The 20,822-nt window shown below is 42.0% G+C and overlaps 1 protein-coding gene across 3 annotated transcripts in view, besides 1 other annotated feature; it reads right to left on the reverse strand.

Moving 5' to 3' along the window:
* SMAD2 (SMAD family member 2) overlaps window positions 1-20,822 on the reverse strand; it is a 121,916-nt gene continuing 101,094 nt past the window's right edge. For all 3 annotated transcript variants that reach the window (NM_001135937.3, NM_001003652.4, NM_005901.6), the window contains one exon: window positions 1-20,822. This exon is cut by the window's right edge and continues 12,172 nt beyond it. The gene's annotated coding sequence lies outside the window, so the exon portion shown is untranslated.
* Window positions 18,766-19,411: an enhancer, noted in NCBI's record as "H3K27ac hESC enhancer chr18:45354093-45354738 (GRCh37/hg19 assembly coordinates)". NCBI's record gives its function as "activates a minimal SCP1, AML or CMV promoter by ChIP-STARR-seq in primed H9 embryonic stem cells {active_cell/tissue: H9 hESC(primed)}" and the evidence as "EXISTENCE:reporter gene assay evidence [ECO:0000049][PMID:30033119]".

Here is a 20,822-nt window from a genome sequence, read left to right on the forward strand (position 1 = left end):
TTCATTTCCACCTTTATTCTTTATTACCAACACCAAACAGCACCTCAGGTGGTAGTCAACTAAGTAATTCCTGGCTGTTTTCTACAGCGGACCTAGTGAAAAACCAATGGTGCCTAAGGCGGTGCTGAAGGAAGAATTCTCAGCAGCAGTTCTCAACAACAGATCACAGAAACAAGGCTGTCCTCCTCGGGCATCTCTGGGGAGGTGGAGGTCAAAGGGATGGAGACGTTCTGTGCCGTTACGGAAAGAGGCAGTCCCTGTACTTGGGGGTCAGATAGGAAGCATTCCAGTTTCTCTAGTTTCTTCTTTCCCCTTCCTCTTTATTCAGTTCCTTGAAGCATATGGCAGATGCCAGCTGGTGGTAAAGGAATGACAGTTTTCCAGGCCAGAGCAAGCAAGGTGAGGGGTGGGGATGGTATTCTATATCCCTCCAATCTGGAACTGGAACCAGGTAGAGATAAGGATAACCTGTGGGGGAATTGTGAAGTAGACTAGCCAGTGTAGATGTGTGCACTTATGCAGAGTGGCCTACCTGCCCCCACCCCACCTCCTTCCTAGTGAGCTGAGGAGGACTTGGAACCAGAAAGACAATGAAGCACTCAGGCCTGTGCCAAGTCTTCCAGACTCCTCTTCCCTCCAGGTCGGAGCTCAAGAACCGGGCAGTGATTCCCATCTTATAAGAGCTTTGTTGGATGACAGCCAATGTTCAGCCTTGTCTGTCTGTAATTCTCTTTAAATCTTCTGAGGTTTCCCCATTACTAAGCTCCCGCCCCCTGACCCTCTCTTTGCCTGAAGATGAAGCTTTCAGGCAGATGTTATTTTTTCCCACTATGTACCTGTTACTTGGGTGGAGATTTCTTTTTAATTCTCCAACCAAAAAGAACTACTCATTTCCTTTTGCCTCATGGCCTGAGACATACTTGGATACAGAGTGGGGTGGACTCACTGAGAAACCTTTTAAAGAGAAGATGCAGTATCATTTAAATGCACAATAGACTTCTAGCCCATTTGCCAAAAGCCATCCCAAAGAGGGCTGATATCGTCTGTTAAATGCTGTAATTACAGAGTTGAAACACATACTCTTTCAGACATGAAGTCAGAGGGCTTCTGCCATCCTGCCTGCCTAGACGAGCTGATCTGAGTACAATCACAGAGGAGCACTGGAAGATACCACAGCCCAGGTAGCCAGCCTGGGAAATGGTTTCTCATACTGCAAAGAAGTCATCTGACCCAGAAATACTAAGAACCAAGTGAATTCCAAATTGCACACACGAGAAGAAAGTAAGAGGTCGCCAACCAAGTCATTTCCCTGTCCCCAAACCTCCTGAGCCTTCTCCTTGCCCCCTTCCCACCTCTTCCCTACCACTTACCTCTCTCCCTCCTCCCACTGCACACTCACCATCCCCACTGTGCCTCTGCTCAGGTTATGCTGTCAAAGTCAAATGCTATCCACCCTCCCTGCCCACCTTAATTGCCCCCACTGGAACCCTGCAGCAGTTTATGCTACAGACTGGGCTTTCAATCACCTGATTCCACACTGCCTTATAATTGGCATTAGTGGCACCTGTGACAGCAAATCAAGGTCCTCCCAAATAAAAAGTATCTTTTTCCTACAGTTTCCACAAGGCTAGGCACAAAATTGGTGCTTAAAAAGACTGATTGACCAACTAACATTTGACTTGGAAATATAAATAAAGCCCAGGCATGGTGGCTCATGCCTGTAATCCCAACACGTTGGGAGGCTGAGGTGGGAGGATCACTTGGGCCCAGGAGTTTAAGACCAGGCTGGGCAACACAGCAAGATCCTGTCTCTGTTAAAAAAGAAGAAAGGAAATGTAAATAAAATAGTCCCATGCATCAGCAACAGCCGCCACAGCTGAACTGTCACACTTTTGCACCATCTTCTGAATTCAGCATCGTCTTCCTTAGACTGTGGGATGCAAATCGTGGTTTTCTTATGCCAAAACAACTTCCGTGCCTGTCTTGTACTCTGAAGACAGTAATTATTAGCCTCGAAGTTTTCTGTTGGCATGAGCACTACGATCCCCCAAGGAGTGGAATGCAGTAGCTACAGTTTCAACTGACACACATCTGACTCTATCCCCCAAGCCCCAAATGTGCAATAAAGAAAGTAAAAATTAGTTGCTGTCCACTTGGCTTCCAGGAACAGGGTGAAAACTTCAGATCTTATGGCCTGCCACACTGGAAGGCCTACTCTGATTTGAAAGAAGCTGGCTGGGCACGGTGGCTCACGCCTGTAATCCCAGCACTTTGGGAGGCTGAGGCGGGTGGATCACAAGGTCAGGAGATTGAGACCATCCTGGCTAACACGGTGAAACCCTGTCTCCACTAAAAATACAAAAATTAGCCAGGCGTGGCGGCGTGCACCTATAGTCCCAGCTGCTGGGGAGGCTGAGGGAGGAGAATGGTGTGAACCCAGGAGGCGGAGCTTGCAGTGAGCTGAGATTGTGCCACTGCACTCCAGCCTGGGCGACAGAGCGAGACCTCGTCTCAAAAAAAAAAAAAAAAAAAAGAAAAAGAAATAAGGTAATTCTGAAATCCACAGCAATGCTTCAGTGCTCCTAAGGGGCCGCTTTACTTCTGTAAGCTGGGTTGGGTGAATTGGTCCTCAACCATGCATCTCCTCCAGACCCCATCCTCACTCCAAACATACACATATTCCAAAGTTCATCAGAACCTTTGATCACAAAACAGACAATGAGAGCAGCTGATCAAAATGGAACCCTATGAAAGGCAAAGAGCAGGGTGGAGGAAACATACCATGCATTTCAAGGAAAACAACTTAAAAATTAATGAGCTCTCAGGAAAAGATGGCATCACAAGAGAATCAACCAACCTAGATCTTCTGAGCACCTGTCAGTCGATCAAGAAGCATTTATTGCATGCCTACCATATATAAAGCACTGCTGGAAATGTTGAAGCAGACACAAAGATGTAGCATATATAAAAAGGAAATGTTTGGGAAAAAGTGATTTTAGCCTCTGACCTCAAGGTGCTTGTATTAGTCTGTTCTCACACTGCTATAAAGAAATACCTGAGACTGGGTAATTTATAAAGGAAAGAGGTTTAATTGACTCAACAGTTCCACATGGCTGGTGATATAGTTTGGCTGTGTCCCCACCCAAATCTCATCTTGAATTGGAGCTCCCATAATTCCCCATATTATGTGAGGGACCCAGTGAGAGGTAACTGAATCATGGGGGTGGGTCTTTCCCGTGCTGCTCTTGTAATAGTGAATAAGTCTCACGAGATCTGATGGTTTTATAAAGGGGAGTTCCCCTACACAAGCTCTCTCGCCTGATGCCATGTAAGATGTGTCTTGCTCCCCCTTCACCTTCTGCCATAATTGTGAGGCCTCCCCAGCCATGTAAAACTGTGAGTCAATTAAACCTCTTTTATAAATTACCCAGTCTCCGGTATCTCTTTATTAGCCGCGTGAGATCAGACTAATACAGCTGGGGAGGCCTCAGGAAACTTACAATTATGGCAGAAGGGGAAGCAGGCACCTTCTTCACAAGGTGGCAGAAGAGAGTGTGAGTGTGTGAAAGTACAGGAAAAACTACCATTTATAAAACCATCAGATCCTGTGAGAATTCACTATCATGAGAACAGCATGGGAGAACCACCCCCATAATACAATTACTTCCTTCCCTCAACATGTAGGGATTACAATTCAAGATGAGATTTGGGTGGGGATGGAGACCCAAACCATATCAGAGCTCATAACTTAAGTGGTGGTAATCAAATCTAAAGCACATTTTATAGCACACACACTCGCTATTCCAAGGTTCCTTTCATGAGTGTCCATGTCACTGTCTCCCCAGGACCCCCACAGGAGCCTTGCACAGGTATCTCATGAACATCCAAGTACCACTTCTTGTAGGAAGCAGGGGTAACTTTCAATAGGGGTGGTTAAGGAAGACTCTGCAGAGAGGATGGAATTTAAACTGGGTTCTGGCCAGGCAGGGTGACTCACACCTGTAATCCCAGCAGTTTGGGAGACCAAGGCAGGTGGATCACCTGAGGTCAGGAGTTTGAGACCAGCCTGGCCAACATAGTGAAACCCTGTCTCTACCAAAAATACAAAAATTAGCCAGGTGTGGTGGCGGGCACCTGCAATCCCAGCTACTCAAGAGGCTGAGGCAGAAGAATTGCTTGAATCCAGGAGGCAGAGGTTGCAGTGAGTCAAGACTGTGCCATTGCACTCCAGCCTGAGTGATGAAACTTGGTCTCAAAAATAACTAAATAACTAAATAAAATAAACTGGGTCCTTATTTTTAGAAAAGGATCTCACTTTGTCATCCAGGCTAGAGTGCAGTAGCACAAACATGGCTCATGAAGCCTCGACTTCCTGGGCTCAAGCAATCCTCCCACCTCAGCCTCTCAAGTAGCTGGGACTACAGGTGCCTGCCACCATGCCCAGCTAATTTTTTTTTTTTTTTTTTTTGAGATGGAGTCTTGCAATGTCACCCAGGCTGGAGTGCAGTGGCGCAATCTCGGCTCACTGCAACCTCTGCCTCCCGGGTTCATGCGATTCTCCTGCCTCAGCCTCCCGAGTAGCTGGGATTACAGGCACACACCACCACACCCGGCTAATTTTCTGCATTTTTAGTACAGATGGGGTTTCACTATGTTGGCCAGACTGGTCTCAAACTCGTGACCTCATGATCCACCTGCCTCGGCCTCCCAAAGTGCTGGGATTACAGGCATGAGCCACTGTACCCGGCCCCACAATTTTTTTTTTTTTTTTTTTTTGGAGAGATGGGATCTTGCTATGTTGATCAGGCTGGAAACCTGGGTCTTGAATAATGGATACATTTGGAAGTGCAGAGCAAAGGCCAGAGAGATATCCAAGCCAGAGAGATATCCAAGGCAGAACAAAGCTCATAATTTAACAAGAAAGGTAGGCATAGATAGGCCTAATTATGATGAATGCTCTCTTACCAGTATAAACAAATTACAAAGGGAGTGATGAGAAGAGGCAATGAAGTTTGGGGAGGGAAAGAAAAGTCTGTGGTGGAGGTGATAACCTGAACTTGGCTTTGAGGAATAAAGAGTTTTATATCAGGGCATCAAGAGAAGGATATTCAAGGTACTTAGGACCAGAACAGGCAAAGGCACTGAAGCAAGAGAGTCTGGGGCAAGAATGTCTCTATTGGGTCAAGACTTTGACAATATTAAAGATTCCATTTTCTTCATATATGCCCCCCTGCTGTCTTTCCAATAAAGGTAAGCCCTGAAGCCTGACAGTCACAGGAAAGGAGAGGGTGTGTACTAGAGTAACAGCACAGTTGCTACTCAGCTGTGAATCTCAGAGCCTGCCTTTATTATCTTGATTATTCTTTGGCATCTCTAGGAAGATGATAAGTAGTCTTCAAAGTCAGACTTTACTGAGAATGAGAAGGGAGTTCTACATGCTAAGAGCTCCATTCACATACTAAAAGCAAAGCTTGGACAACTGAACATGAGTTTTACTCCTAACCATGGATAAGAGAAACTGAGAATACGATGTGAGAAGAGTCTCTTCATTAGGCAGGAGTGGAATGACTCCCAGGGCAGGGAGAGATTGATTGAGATTGCAATTGCCCTGTTGGGAAATAAACGGAAACTTCAGGATGGGTATGCGAGTCTTGGAGCAGCAGGGTTAGTCAACTACTTTCCTGGCATAGCCTGGGGAAGACTGCAAGCCACTCAAAAAAGTCCTACTCATGACTTAGAGGCTTACCCAGTATGGCACAGGAGCACTAGCTCAGCATTGGTGGAAGGAGGTGTCTAGTCAGTCTGAGAAAATGTTGGCTTCCCAAAGCTTGAGCAAGATGTTCAGTACATCCCAAAGTTCCAACATCATCCCTTCCCACCCACTCCAAAGCCCAGCAGATTAACAGTCCCATAGTTGGGACATGGAAGCTATTAAGGTAGAGACCTTGAGACCAAAGGCAATGACAGAGTTGTGGTCAGGAGCAGGGCATGACAGCAGTGAACAAAAGCCAGGGACCCACTTACATTACCCAGTAGACTCAGTGACATCCAGCAAAGATGGCAGGATGAGCACCAGCAGCAGGACCGTCAAGGACCTCAGCACATACATTAGAGAAACTCTTTCCTGTGTCACCTGGAGATGACTGTTCTCACCCACTAGATGCCATCATGAGGAAGAAGCTAGGAAGAACCTTTGAAAAGCTGAGCATTTATCCAAAGAGATGGTTTTAAGCCTGAGATAGGCTATTTGAATCGAAAGAGAACGTTATCTTTGATTGGCAAGTTTAAGGCCATCCACCTCGTCCCACACCTTCCCAAAACCAGATGGGATGCATGAGAAATTGATGTGAAATGAAGGAACTGTAACTTCTTTTCTGCATGATCTGAGTTTTAATGTGTGGGAGCTGGGAAGAGGGAAGAACATTGATAGAAAATCTGAAAGCCCACAGGGAATGTGGTCTAAAGCAGAGGTTTAAGTCCTGGCTGATAATCATTTTGGGTTTTCTGAAAATGCAGATCCCAGTGCTCCAATTCCAGACCTGCTAAAGCAGAATCTCACAATTGAGGCCAGGGAACCTACATTTTAGAAGCTCTCCTTCTGACTCCAATTTGGAAACCATTTATTTAACCACTAGTACAAAAACTGGCCTTGAATAAGACATCACTTCCTCCAAGTCTGAGTACAGCACGCAAGGGCAACTGCAGCAAATGGAGGGGTGATTTAGTAAGGAGGGGGTGAAACCGAAAATCAACAAGGTTTGTGTGAACTGGTCTCGACACACTTGGCTGTGAATAGCAGGGATAGAAAGTAGTTATGGGGCTTGCAAGGACATTGTCTTAATTTTCCTGTTGTCTTAACAGAGGATTTACTGAGCCCATGTATGCTGTAGGAAAAAGCTAGTGGTGCCAGAGTTTAAGTTTTCAGAGGAGGAATAATTGACCTATGTATGAGTTCTAGAGAAGCCTTGCAGACTTACCCAGGGCTCAGAGCACATGGCTTAGTCCTGACATAAAATACCATTTTTCCTCTACCACTTGGCTAAGAAGCTGAGGAGGAACTGGCAGTGAGGGAGGAGGTTGAGAATGAAAGTTCTGGAGAGTCACCTAAGAGACGGTAAACACATACCTCATGTCTTGGCTTCTAGAGCCCGGAGATAAGATCAGCTTCCCTTGAAAATGTTAGCTCCCATGCCACATTTAGTCAAGACAACAATAACAAAAGGCTTTCTTCAGGGAGGGCAGTGGAAGTGAGTTTGAGATAAAAAGGAATTTATTTATTTGCACCTATGTATTGTTCAGAAGTTTTAGGTCTTATGAAAAAAAGATTTTTATAAATTATACACAATTGGGTAGCTTTAAAAAATACCAAAATATACAGTGGTCACCCTAAAACTAACATTTTTGGATAATACACTTATAAATTGGAAAATGAGAAAAGATAGTCTGGTATAACTGCCTGAACAACTTATTAAGAACATTAACAAGTAATAACACATATTTTAATGTAATATTGCTGACTAATTTGGCACATTTAATACACGTCCAATATATTTTCTATGTACTGTGAAAGCTTTTGGGAAAATAAAGCAGCTTGTGTTACAAAAACTGCAACCTTTCACAAAGGTTACCCACAAAATACTTTTGCCTAGCCACTGCCTGTCCAACTTCAGAGTGGCACCACCCTTGCTATTGATCTTTGTAACCAACGACAATTATTTCAAAACAATTATACAACCCTCATTTTTCTTTAAAATCTTTGTCTTCCTTTACTTCCCTGAATACACACGTAGTTTACCATGACATGGGTCTTTTTTTTTTTTTTTTGGAGACGTAGTTTTGCACTGTCGCCCAGGCTGGAGTGCAGTGGCACATCTAGGCTCACTGCAACCTCCACTTCTCAGGTTCAAGCCAATCTTCTGCCTCAGCCTCCCAAGTAGCGGGATCATAGGCACCCACCAATACACCCATCTAATTTTTTGTATTTTTAGTAGAGAGGGGGTTTCACTATGTTGGCCAGGCTGGTCTCAAACTCCTGACCTCGTGATCGGCCCACCTCAGCCTCCCAAAGTGCTGGGATTACAGGCATAAGCCACCGCGCACGGCCCATGACATGCGTATTTCTACAGCAATGCTGTATTCCCAAATAGAGTTTTCTTTTAGAGAGCCTCTCTCTGTGTTGACATAAATGGTGTTCAGCAGTAGAACCTGAAGTAGGACACATTTCAGAGAGAAGTGGTGATCTCAGAATCAGTATGCAGTACTCACAGGAGCCCTTTGGGCTCTCCGCTTACATAGCTTGTCTGTTCTGCCCCAGTGAGTCTTTTCTCAGGCAGAGCCTCCCACTTTTGGCAGAGGCTTTTTGACTTGACTTTGGATTTGTCTTGGTTCTAAGACCACTTTAATAAAGGACTTTACATCCCTCCTGGGATGACAAAAGACTTTTTGTCTTTCCTGGCAAGTCCTTTTTGATATAAAGACAAGTGTCCCTCTGGTTTGAGTACTCTGGATTTAAAAACAATTTTTTTTTAGAGACAGTGTCTCACTATACTGCTGAGGCTGGTCTTGAACTCATGGGCTCAAGCGATCCTCCTGCCTTGGCCTCCCAAAGTGCTGGGATTACAGGCATGGGCCACTGCGCCTGGCTGAGTACTCTGGATTCTGAGGCATGCCTTTTCTGGTAAATTTACTTTGGGTTCTTCTGTGTTTATATTATTTTTTAATCTGCATGACTGGGTTAACACTTTTGGGAACACTGATTTTGGTTTCGTTTCGATATGGTTACATGCATCTGTAAATGATTTGGCTCTTTTCCCCTGTTTCTGAACATCTCCCAAGAGCAAAAATAAACATTCTAAATTTTGGGCACAGGATGGCTCTTTTAAAGCCACTAGGGCAATCGCCACCAGTTAAAACACTGGTCCAAACACCTGACTTATCTGTCAGGATTTACAGAATTTTCTTTGCTCTTAAGAGATTGAGAAGAAACAAAATGGAAATTCTCAAACATTAAGGCATGCCTGCTTTTCTGGGACTTCAGGTCAGCTATGTGGCTTTTCCTCATGCATGTTTTTGGATCAATGACCATCATAGAGATTGTCTATGCTTTGTCTAAACTCCCCAAGCTTTTTTATTCTTAGTACCAAGAGACTGCAGCTATAGAGTTGATATGTAGAGTCTTCTAAGCTCTCTAATTTTTTTTCTGCCTACTTTAAATCTGCTGTTTCTGCCAGTGTTGAGATGAAACTCACTCCTTACGGCATTCCAGCCAAGAACAAAAAGAAAAAAAAAGGTCTTAAAGGGCCTTAAATTAATGGCTTTATAAATTATAATAGTTCCCTGGCAACCAACACCTAGAATTAAGAAGTATCCCTTTTAATGTAAATTTAGGTTTGCCTAATAACTGCTTAGGGTGATGGAACAGTTAATTAAAGGATTAATAGCCTAAAAGAACTAGATAAATACGTATAAAAATTAGGCTCTCAAACAGGTCAAAATCTTGAGCTCAGGGCAATAATATAAGGTATCTCTGGTATAGCATAAAAATTGCTTGCCTGCTATGCAAAGGCTAAAAGAACAAAACAAAAACCCCTCATCCACAACTGCTAAAATGCTTCCCTGCCTGCACTGACTAGTCAAAAAAACCAGAATGGCAAACAAAAGATTTGTTACTAAAAATTCAAGGCCACCTGGAGATTGTTTTTTCTTATACAATTCAGCCAGTCCTAGCTAAAAATGTAAGCATTTAAATATTAACATTAAACTCATTTGAAACTGAAAAAAGGGAAAAAAGGGGTTGGGGAGGTGGGGTAAGAGGTTTTTTAAAAATCCAAACTGCTATTTACCAAAACTTTTGGTTCACAGCTTTCATAAGATTACCTATTCTGCATGTTTACCCAGCTGAGCAGGTCCCACTTTCTCAGAAATATAATTTGAATCCAATAACTGTCTTTTATAAACCAGCAAGCCTGTATTACTATCGTATGACTAAAATTCTAAAATGAAAGCTATGTTTGTGTATGTGTATGTTTAGGTGTGTTTACACATATGTATATATATGTTGTATGTTGTGTCTACGTGGTAAAATCTGGCAGTTGGCCACAAATCCCTTAAGGAATTCTATTCATCAAATAAATGAGTGCTAATACAAAATATATAGTAATTAACACAAGTGCCTTTTAGTTAATATAACTTAAACATCTGATAAGCTGGTTTTAAAATAATTGGTAAATCAAAAATAAGTGTCTTTAAAATTTTTGCCTGAATTTACTACTCAGTTTTATATTTGTCTCTGTTAGACTTTTTAAGGTCATAAAACTATAAACTCAACTTAAAAACAGAATGATCTTTGTATAACTGTAAGTTGAACTAATTTTGTATTATTGACTTCAGCTGTGTCCTCTGAGTTACTGGCAAAATACCTACATATTTCATTTTTATGGTTCTTAATTGAACACATGATACTCACAGGTAATAAAAATGGTTAACAGGAAAATAACTTGAAATGACTAGCTATGTCTAATATCTCAGTTTTTATAAGTAATCTAGGAATAATTGTTAAAAATGAATTGGGGGCCAGGTGCAGTGGCTCACGCCTGTAATCCTAGCACTTTGGGAGGCCAAGGCGGGCAGATCACGAGGTCAGGAGATCGAGATCACGGTGAAACCTCGTCTCTACTAAAAATACAAAAAATTGGCTGGGCGCGGTGGCGGGCGCCTGTAGTCCCAGCTACTCGGGAGGCTGAGGCAGGAGAATGGCATGAACCCAGAAGGCGGAGCTTGCAGTGAGCCGAGATCACGCCACTGCACTCCAGCCTGGGTGACAGAGCGAGACTCCGTCTCAAAAAAAAAAAAAAAAAAAAGAATTGGATGGATTATAAACGGGATAAGCAAGGGTGAGACATGGTGGTATGCAGGTATGCATCTATAGTTCCAGCTACTCAGGAAACGGAGGCAGGAGGATTGTGTGAGTTGGAGTTTGAGGCTGCAGTGTGCTACAATTGTGCCTGTGAACAGCCACTGAACTCCAGCCTGGGTAACACAGCAAGACATTGTCTCTAAAAAATAAACCAAAAGAATGTTTTTAAAAATAGGATGTTAATGAACTTTTCATGTAATTTGAAATCTTATAAATTAATCTTCAGTAAATGTCTGGATCATTTCCAAAAAAAAACAATAAACTGCTGAAAATATTAGTTTGTTCTTGGCTTCCTAAATTATAGAAAGACTAAATATATTTGGGCCTATTAATATACAAAGTTATAAGGAAACATGTTTCTAAAAATTATAATATGGTTCTCATTTATAAAATGCTGATATAACACTTCAAAATTTTGCTTCCTAGGTTTTCACTAAAAATTAAGGTTAATAAGTTAAAATTTGAAAATACACAATTCCATATACAAAGTGTACCCAAAAAAAGATGTTTTGATGAGAAAAGTTATAAGGCATAAAAATTGCTTTTTATTGGGAAAAAAGTTGTTTAAATTCAGAGTTTATTAGAGGTTGTTTCAAATATGGAAACAAGACAGAAAGGAACCACTAAGTAGGAGGAGGAGAGAAATATGAAGGAAGTTAATGGGTGTGAGAATGTACCTTTGGTAAGGAAGGTTACAAAATTAACAGAATAATTCTGTATGAGTCTTGCATAGTAACTTTTTATCCTAAAGCAGGATGACCAGTTGTTTAAGGGGAAGTATAAAACAAAGCAGAAAGTTTAAGCATGTCACTGAAGGTCTGTGCAGATCATGAAATGTTCATGAAGGATACATTTATGAAAGGAGTTGTGTGTAATGAAGTTGGCAATAGGTCAGAATGAAATCATAAGACATTGAGCTTACATATATACTTGTACATATGTATATGTACAATAATACAGTATATTCTATACATATGCTATATATTTGTATATACACGATAGTGTAAATGCTATACATGCACTATACACACACACACACACACACACACACACACACACACACACACACAAAATTTGGTCCCCAATGTTAGAACAAGGTTCTTTTTAAGGATCTGGTCTTAATAAAATTGAAAGAGGTTTTAATTTTTAATTCTAAAATCAGCCATCTTCTAAACCACAGTTTAAATTTCTGCCATATTTCCTTCTGAGATCCGTTTAATTTCCCCTAGATTCAGGTTAGAAAGGCTGTCTTTTTTCATTTAAGATGGTCATTTCATTTCTTGAGGTAGAGTTTTCTTCTTGAAGATCCTGATTTATATCTCACAAGTTCAACCTTTGCTGTATCTTGCTGCACCTTATTTGTAGGTCACACATCATTGCCTTTAGCTCTTTCTCCCCTTAAGAAGGTACATCTTTTTGTTTGGCAGGGGTGATAACTCTTAACTTTTTCATTAGCTCCTGTAACTTTTTTCCTCTGGTTCTAACTCTTGCTGTTATAACTTGATACTGAAATGTTCTGTAGAAGGCCTAGAAAAGCAATGTTTTCCTCCAGTATAACTTGATTCTGAATTCTTGGCTCTTCTCATGTTTGAATTGTTCCACGCAAGCAGGAAATTTCTCGTAATTTTTCCAAGAGCCATGTATTCTGTTCAACATACTAGCTTTCTTATTTACATTCCTCTATAAGGCGTACACTCATAACCTTGGAAATACTCTTCCTGTGTCTGATTAAATTCAAGTACCTTTTCATCAGATTCAACTTTCAGTATATCCAAATAGGCTTCCCATAAGTAAAGGCAGTCACACTGCAAGAGATTTTTCTTTACCATTTTGGCAACTGGCCTAAGAAAAATTTTATGTTCTATCAAGATAAATTCTTGTGTTTAAGTTTTTTTTTTGCTTGGGAAAAATGAAGCTTTGAAAAGATGGTTTTTAAATGTATGTAACTTTCTGCATTGCTTCTTAAGTCTTTTGATTATCATTCTTGTTAAATATTTTATAGTGACCTGTGATCCTGTTTCGAACTTTTGACATCTTTGACAGGCTTCTCTAGGCTCAAGTTCTAAATTAAGTGTTTTTGACTTAAAATTACCTTTGAGTTTTCCACTTGGGCCTCTGGAAAGCCTCAGAGCATGTGTATGCCATCTGGTAGAGATGTTAGCTAATTAGGCTTCTTTGATGTATTAAATTGTATGAAAAGCATTGTCTAATGATGTAATACTAGACACAGTTACATTTATGAGTATGTTATTGATATGAGTGTTCCAAAATTGTACGATGCCGTTAGAAATATGTCATCAGTCATAATTCTGATTATGCTGTTTGCCACAAAAATAACCAAAACTCTTTGTCTATTTCTGGTTATGGTAAACTCTCATCAGATTTTTAATCATGGTTATTCTAAGTTTTTGTAATTCCCAGTTATTGCTTTTTCTCTAAAAGCATTTGCAATCAGATTCATGGAAAAGATGCTAACACACTTTTAAATACAGGTTACTAATCACTTTAATACCAATGGACTAAATATTTTTTCAGAACTTCAAGAAACTGATGAGTCCATGTAACTACTAATTAAGATCAACCACAACAAAAAAAGTTACATGAGACTAAGTAACTGAAGATGTGTCTGTGACTTTTATTTGAAGCATTATTGTTTTTTTACTTAAATGTTTTGTTTTCCATATTTAAAGAAATTCTCTCATGCTATCTATAGTTTACAGCAATTTGGAATACTTTTGTGAACAAAGGTAGAAATATTTGCTTTTCCTTTCTTCTTGATCCCTCCAATTTGGAAACTATTTTGAGTATTCATTTGTTTTTGTTTTTGAGACGGAGTCTCGCTCTGTTGCCCCAGCTGGAATGCAGTGGCACGATCTTGTTTCAGTGCAACTTCTGCCTCCAGGGTTCAAGCAATTCTGTCTCAGCCTCCCAAGTAGCTGGGACTACAGGCATGCACCACCACACCCAGCTAATTTTTGTATTTTTTAGTAGAGACGGTGGCCGGGGGGAGGTTTCACTATGTTGGCCAGGCTGGTTTCAAACTCCTGACCTCAGGTGTTCCACCTGTCTTGGCCTCCCAAAGAGCTGGGATTACAGGCATGAGCCACTGTGCCCAGCCTATTTGTGAGTACTCTTAAGGCAATATGATTTGCCTAAGTTCAATAAAAATCGGCTCTCGTTATAACAGGATACAATTGGAAACACTGGTTGTATTACCAAGGCTTTGATTAAAATGTCATATTTGAGAATGTGTAGAATGCCTGGCTTCAATGGTTCTCAGCATTACACTGAATTAAAAATTATCATTTCCTGGCAGGCCCAGGAACCTTAAAACTATAGGTAAAATCTAAAGTCTACCTTGACTTAGCTTCTTAGCCTCAAGGAGGTTTTTAAATCTGAGATTACTGTGACCATACTACTATTCTTGCAGACAAAATCTGATAAAGTTTACAAATCTGTTTTATTCTGAACATCTTTGGTAAAAATCAGGGTAACTTTAAGTTTCTGAAGAAAGCTATATGTACCTGTTATTAGATCACAGCTCTGTACCGTTTTGAAACTCCTGTTATCCACCTGCAGACTGGATTTGCTCCTGAATCCTCCTAATTTCCTTCAATATTTGGCTATGACTCTCTAAGAAAAAAAACTACTCCCATGCTCTGAGGCCTATAAGCTAAGATGTGATTAATTTTTAAAGGAGCAAGTCTCATGCTGATGTATGGGTCACACAAAAGTTCACCATACCAACCAATGCCATAGCTAGAGACATTCAAACTGCAAACCAGGACAAAAAGTTGATGATTTCAGGCTGTAGACATTTTTCCTAAGACATCAGAGCAAGAATTGTATTACAATTTGATTTATTCAATTGGTTGCCTGTAAGCCTAGGTTCAGGGCTCAAAACCATTATGCAAACTGGGATTGTCACATTACTATTAATTTTGTGTATTTCCTTTTTAAACTTTGTATCTGTTATTTGCCAAATTTTCTGCAGAAAGAAGTACAATTCCTAACAGAATAATGCTAGCCCAGCACTTTGAGGGGACAACAAAGGACTAAGGAAAAAAAATTGGACTTAATAATAGACTCCAGGTGGACTTAGCCTAAGTGCCACTCCCTTAAAGCCTCCCTGCCCTCAAAGGTGGCTAAAAGGGTTTTAACACTGACTTTTAGTTGCCAATCACTCCTGCCAATGCAGGATGCAGGACCAGACCAATAACCCGGGAAAGGTCTATTCTGTCACCAAGGGACAATCAAAGCCTAACTACAAGATGATTCATCATAGATACTTTCGGAAAAACATCTTCATCAAGAGAGGGAAAGGTGAAAGCTGTCAGAATCAAGAGTCATGTTTCCAAAAGCCCTGACAAATGGAGCCAGGGAAGTCCATGAAGAGAGGGATTTTACGCACTACCTCAAAGACCCAGAAGAAACCACGCCAGCTTGCACAAACACTATTCGCAACCTTACACAGAAAATACTTTTGGGACATCTGCCTAGAAGCCGATTGTCCAAACCCGAACTGGCAGCATCCTTGTTATTAATCCTTGTAGCCAAGAATAATTATTTCAAGACAATTATATAATCTTTATCTGTCCTTTAAAAACCTGTCTTCCTTTACCTTCCTGAATACACACAGTTTACTATGGCATGCATATTGCCTTCACAATGCCCTATTCCCAAATAAACATCATTTTCTTTTAGAAAGCCTCTGTTATTTAGGTTGACAGTTATTACACCTGAAAACTAAATTCTAGCTGATCAATAAAATTCTTTGGTTCTACTGTATACTTTTATTTGGGGATATCTGCTTCCAAACACACTAAAGTACAGTATACTCAATTTTAAATATAGACAGTATATTTAAAAAAAACATAAAAAGTATGTCGAACATTTTTAATTTCAAACACCAAACTTAAATAGACTAATAACACAGATCTTCTGTGGTCCACAAATCATGGCAAAAAACTTTGTTTTCATATGCCCATTATGGCTTGCTGACTGGCTTACTGCATTTTAGATTTTCCTTATGATTTTAGTAGCTTTCTCTAATGGAATGTGCTGTGAGTGAAGCTTCAAACATTTTCCATTGAATATACACAGACATACAAATAAAGACTGGAAAAAATATACACCAGTCGTTTTCTCTGGTTGTTGGAATCTGGGTGATTTTTTAAAGTCCCATCCACTGGGCTGCCAGTAAAAGACCACAAAATATTTTTGTGTATTTACAGGAACGTGATAATCAAAAGTTGTTGTGGGACCATTCAAGATGAGCGTGGGGAAGGGAAGCCCATTTAAACATATATTCAAGGAAAAATATATTAAGTTACCTGAACATTTGGGTAGAAATACTGAGCACTGCTATGGTCTGTCTCCCAAACTGTCCCTCAAATGTATGATGAGATTTTATCTTCATTGTGGTGGTGTTGAGAGCTGGGGCCTAGTGGGAGATGTTTGGTTCACTGAGGCAGATGCTTCATGAATGGCTTGGTGCTGCTCTTGCAATGAGTTCTCACTCTCTCAAGACTAGATTAGTCCCCAGGAGTGGGTTGTTAAAAAGAGACTTGTTTGGTTGTTGTGAACAAGTGGGTTGTTTGCACGTCTGCTTCCCCTCTGACCTTCTCCATCAAGCTATGAAGCAGCAGCAAAGCCCTTGCCAAAAGCCAGGGCCATGCCCTTGAACTTCCCAGCCTGTAGAACTGTGAGCATCCTTCATAAGTGACCCTGCCTCAGCTATCCTGTTATAGTAACACAAAACAGACTAAGACAGGCACACAAAAGCTGAGGACTGCTGTCGACTCCACTTTCAAGGGCTACCAAGCACAGCCACATCACCAAAGAGAACAATTCCTGACCTCCTTGGAAGCAGAAACTTGACTCTCCGGGCAAGATAACTGTTGTCTTTTTAAAATTTCAGTGTCAAAGTTAAAACATGCCTTGATCAGTCAACCAAATTACTGCTAAACCAGTATTGGGAAGCTTCCTAAAGCACTCCAAGCTCCTAAAAACAGGCAGCATGAAGTAAAGCAGATAGCATCTTTGCATTTAAGAAGTCCCAGAAAGGTTTTGGAAATGGCATTAATGTAAATGTTCACATTAAGAGAAAACGGTTTCCCTGAATTGAGTGATTCTTTCTACTTTCTAGTGCTGTACAGGATAGGCTCAGCGTTTGGAGAGTGTTAACTTCCAGTCATGTGATAATGGCCAGGAGCAACCACAATGATTAACCTTTAGATAGAAAACACAATCCTTTGCTTTTGTCTTCCTTATGTATATTAGATTAGGCTTCTACTCAATGCTCTGTAAGTTAAAACATTTCAAACCAAATAGGCCACTCTATTAAGTCCCAGCTTGAGCATTCTTCAGCTTCTCCACATTTTCCATTGTTTGCTGGCAAACCAGTACAGTAACCTGTTAAATACAAAGCAAGGGTGTGGTAGATTGACTGCATTTAAGGCTCCAATTCTTCACCCCTCCTATGTTCTCTCCCTTGGTCTAATAACTCTGTAGTGCCTTTCCACACTGGGTTTAGCCATGTGGCTTGTTTCTGGTGAATGCTAGTTAGCATGAAGCATGCAGACATGAAAGGGAGTTATGGGATTGGGCTTGGCTGTTGTTGCCTTCTACAACCTCCACAAAAACATGCTTGTTTAATGGAGGATAGGAGGCATGTGGAAAAATGCCAAGTCCTTCCAGGTGAGGCCAACTCCCTCATGAACGAGGAAAGACTACAACTGCTCCAGAGACATCTAGCCGAAATCACTTATCTAATTCATAAACTGTTTATTGCTGCACACCACTGGGTTTTTGTGGTTGCTACGAGTTACTTTTGCGGCAATAATTGCTCCAATATGTTCTATGTGACATTTCTGAGTTTAACATCACATTTACAAACTTTCTTAGAGAAAGATTTGTTATTAGCAAAGACCTTCAGAGTAACCTTTGCCTGGTATTCTAGACTGTGCAGATTTAGCCATCTAATACTGAGTACCCACTTCAGGCTGAATGATCTCTCAAGTGCTCTCATTTAGTTCTCATAACCACCCTAAAAACTAACTTCCTCATTTTAGGGAACTGGAGGAAATGAAGAACTTTAAGGTAGACTGATGAAAAGATTTATCTAAAGTCACATAAATTGGCACAATCAGGGTCCAAACCCCAGGCCTCCGATTCTGAGTCAAACTGCATTTTCCATTACATCGGAAATGACCAAGGATTAAAATTAGCAGAATGTTATTCTGTCCAGCCATTAAAATCCAAAAAAAAAATTTGTTCAAAGTAGGCAATTGAGTTTTCATTCTATTATCCAAGGTAACTGAAGTATTTGACTGTACAGGACTGCTTCCTTCAAGTGTTCCATCCTTAGCATTCTTGTTAAAAATGGCCTTTAAGATATTGCTATTCCCAGTCAAGAAATACCCAGACAACTAAAGAGACTAAAATCATGTAAATCATCCATTTCCCAGTTGAATCTTAAAAAAAAATTTATGCTCAATACCTCTCTCCAGCCAATCACTATGTAAATTGTGAATTAAGACATTATTACTTGGTGGCAATAACGGTTAGAAAAAAAGCACATCCCTCTCCCTCTCCCGTCTCCCCCCGTCTCCCACTTTCTACGGTCTCCCACTTTCCACCGTCTCCCTCTGATGCCGAGCCAAGGCTGGACTGTACTGCCGCCATCTCGGCTCACTGCAACCTCCCTGCCTGATTCTCCTGCCTCAGCCTGCCGAGTGCCTGGGATTGCAGACGCGCGCCGCCACGCCTGACTGGTTTTTGTATTTTTTGGTGGAGACGGGGTTTCGCCGTGTTGGCCAGGCTGGTCTCCAGCTCCTGACCGCGCATGATCTGCCCGCCTGGGCCTCCCGAGGTGCTGGGATTGCAGATGGAGTCTCGCTCACTCAGTGCTCAATGTTGCCCAGGCTGGAGTGCAGTGGCACGATCTCGGCTCGCTACAACCTCCACCTCCCAGCCGCCTGCCTTGGCCTCCCAAAGTGCGGAGATTGCAGCCTCTGCCCGGCCGCCACCCCGTCTGGGAAGTGAGGAGCATCTCTGCCTGGCTGCCCATCGTCTGGGATGTGAGGAGCCCCTCAGCCCGGCCGCCCAGTCTGGGAAGTGAGGAGCGCCTCTTCCCGGCCGCCCATCGTCTGAGATGTGGGGAGCGCCTCTGCCCCGCCGCCCCGTCTGGGATGTGAGGAGTGTCTCTGCCCGACCGCCACCCCGTCTGGGAGGTGAGGAGCGTCTCTGCCCGGCCGCCCCGTCTGAGAAGTGAGGAGCCCCTCCGCCCAGCAACCACCCCGTCCGGGAAGTAAGGAGCGTCTCCGCCCAGCAGCCGCCCCGTCTGGGAGGGAGGTGGGGGGCAGCCCCTGCTCGGCCAGCCGCCCCGTCCGGGAGGTGGGGGGCAACCCCCGCCCGGCCAGCTGCCCCGTTCGGGAGGTGGGGGGCAGCCCCCGGCCAGCATCCACCCCGTCCGGGAGGTGGGGGGGCGCCTCTGCCCAGCCGCCCCGTCTGGGAAGTGAGGAGCCCCTCTGCCCGGCCGCCACCCTGTCTGGGAGGTGTACCCAACAGCTCATTGAGAGCGGGCCATGATGACGATGGCGGTTTTGTCGAATAGAAAAGGGGGAAATGTGGGGAAAGGAAAGAGAGATCAGATTGTTGCTGTGTCTGTGTAGAAAGAAGTAGACATAGGAGACTCCATTTTGTTCTGTACTAGGAAAAATTCTTCTGCCTTGGGATGCTGTTAATCTATAACCTTACCCCCAACCCCGTGCTCTCTGAAACATGTGCTGTGTCCACTCAGGGTTAAATGGATTAAGGGCGGTGCAAGATGTGCTTTGTTAAACAGATGCTTGAAGGCAGCATGCTCGTTAAGAGTCATCACCACTCCTTAATCTCAAGTACCCAGGGACACAAACACTGCAGAAGGCCGCAGGGTCCTCTGCCTAGGAAAACCAGAGACCCTTGTTCACATGTTTATCTGCTGACCTTCCCTCCACTATTGTCCTATGACCCTGCCACATCCCCCTCTCCGAGAAACACCCAAGAATGATCAATAAATACTAAAAAAAAAAAAAAAAAAAAAAAAAAAGACTTTAGTTCAAGTTGAGACCAAAGACTGTGCTATTATGGGGTGGAGAAAAGTATCACAATTTTGGTAATACTAGGCAAGATGTAACCTCAAGTCTCCAGGCAGCCCCATGAGCTTCCCTGTGAATGAGAACAGAAAAAGTTCAGGAGCCACCAGAGGATGTTAAGGAGGCTTCCTAGAGAAGACGTGGCAATGCACCTGATGGAGACGTTTAATTTCTTCACTACAAGGAATTTCAAACTTATCTAAAAGGAAATAGAATACAACAAAGCTCCCTTACCCAATCCCAACAAACAACCATCAATGTCCTATTCATTCATACCTCCATCTACTTCCTCTGTCACATACTATTTTGAAGCAAGTCTTACCCATTGTATTTTACCCATAAATGTTTCATTCTGTATCTCTAAAACATTGTCTCTAGACCTCAGCAAAAAAAAAAAAGCACATCCACTTTTACAATGGTCACATACAAATGGGGAAAGAGTGGATATAAAAAATATGCACCCACCTTCAATCAAATGCGATCTTTTAAAGAATATAAACAAGCCAGATTCTTAGGTATCTCTCCCTTTTGTAATTTTGATTCTGAAAAAATATTTAAAGTAATCAATTAGGTATTCTAAAAGAAGGCAGTTTTCTAGGGGTTTATTTAATTATAGGGGGGTTGGGGTAGAGAGATTAAAAACGGGAAGCAGTGCATAGGCAGTATGAAGTAGACACTTTGGCAAATAAAAACTGCACCGTATGACATGTCACATAGAAATTGTTAGAGACTTTGAATCCTAAAATTTAGTTTACCAAATGTAGCTTTTT

Source organism: Homo sapiens, chromosome 18 (assembly GCF_000001405.40).
Source record: "Homo sapiens chromosome 18, GRCh38.p14 Primary Assembly".
NCBI lineage: Eukaryota > Metazoa > Chordata > Mammalia > Primates > Hominidae > Homo > Homo sapiens.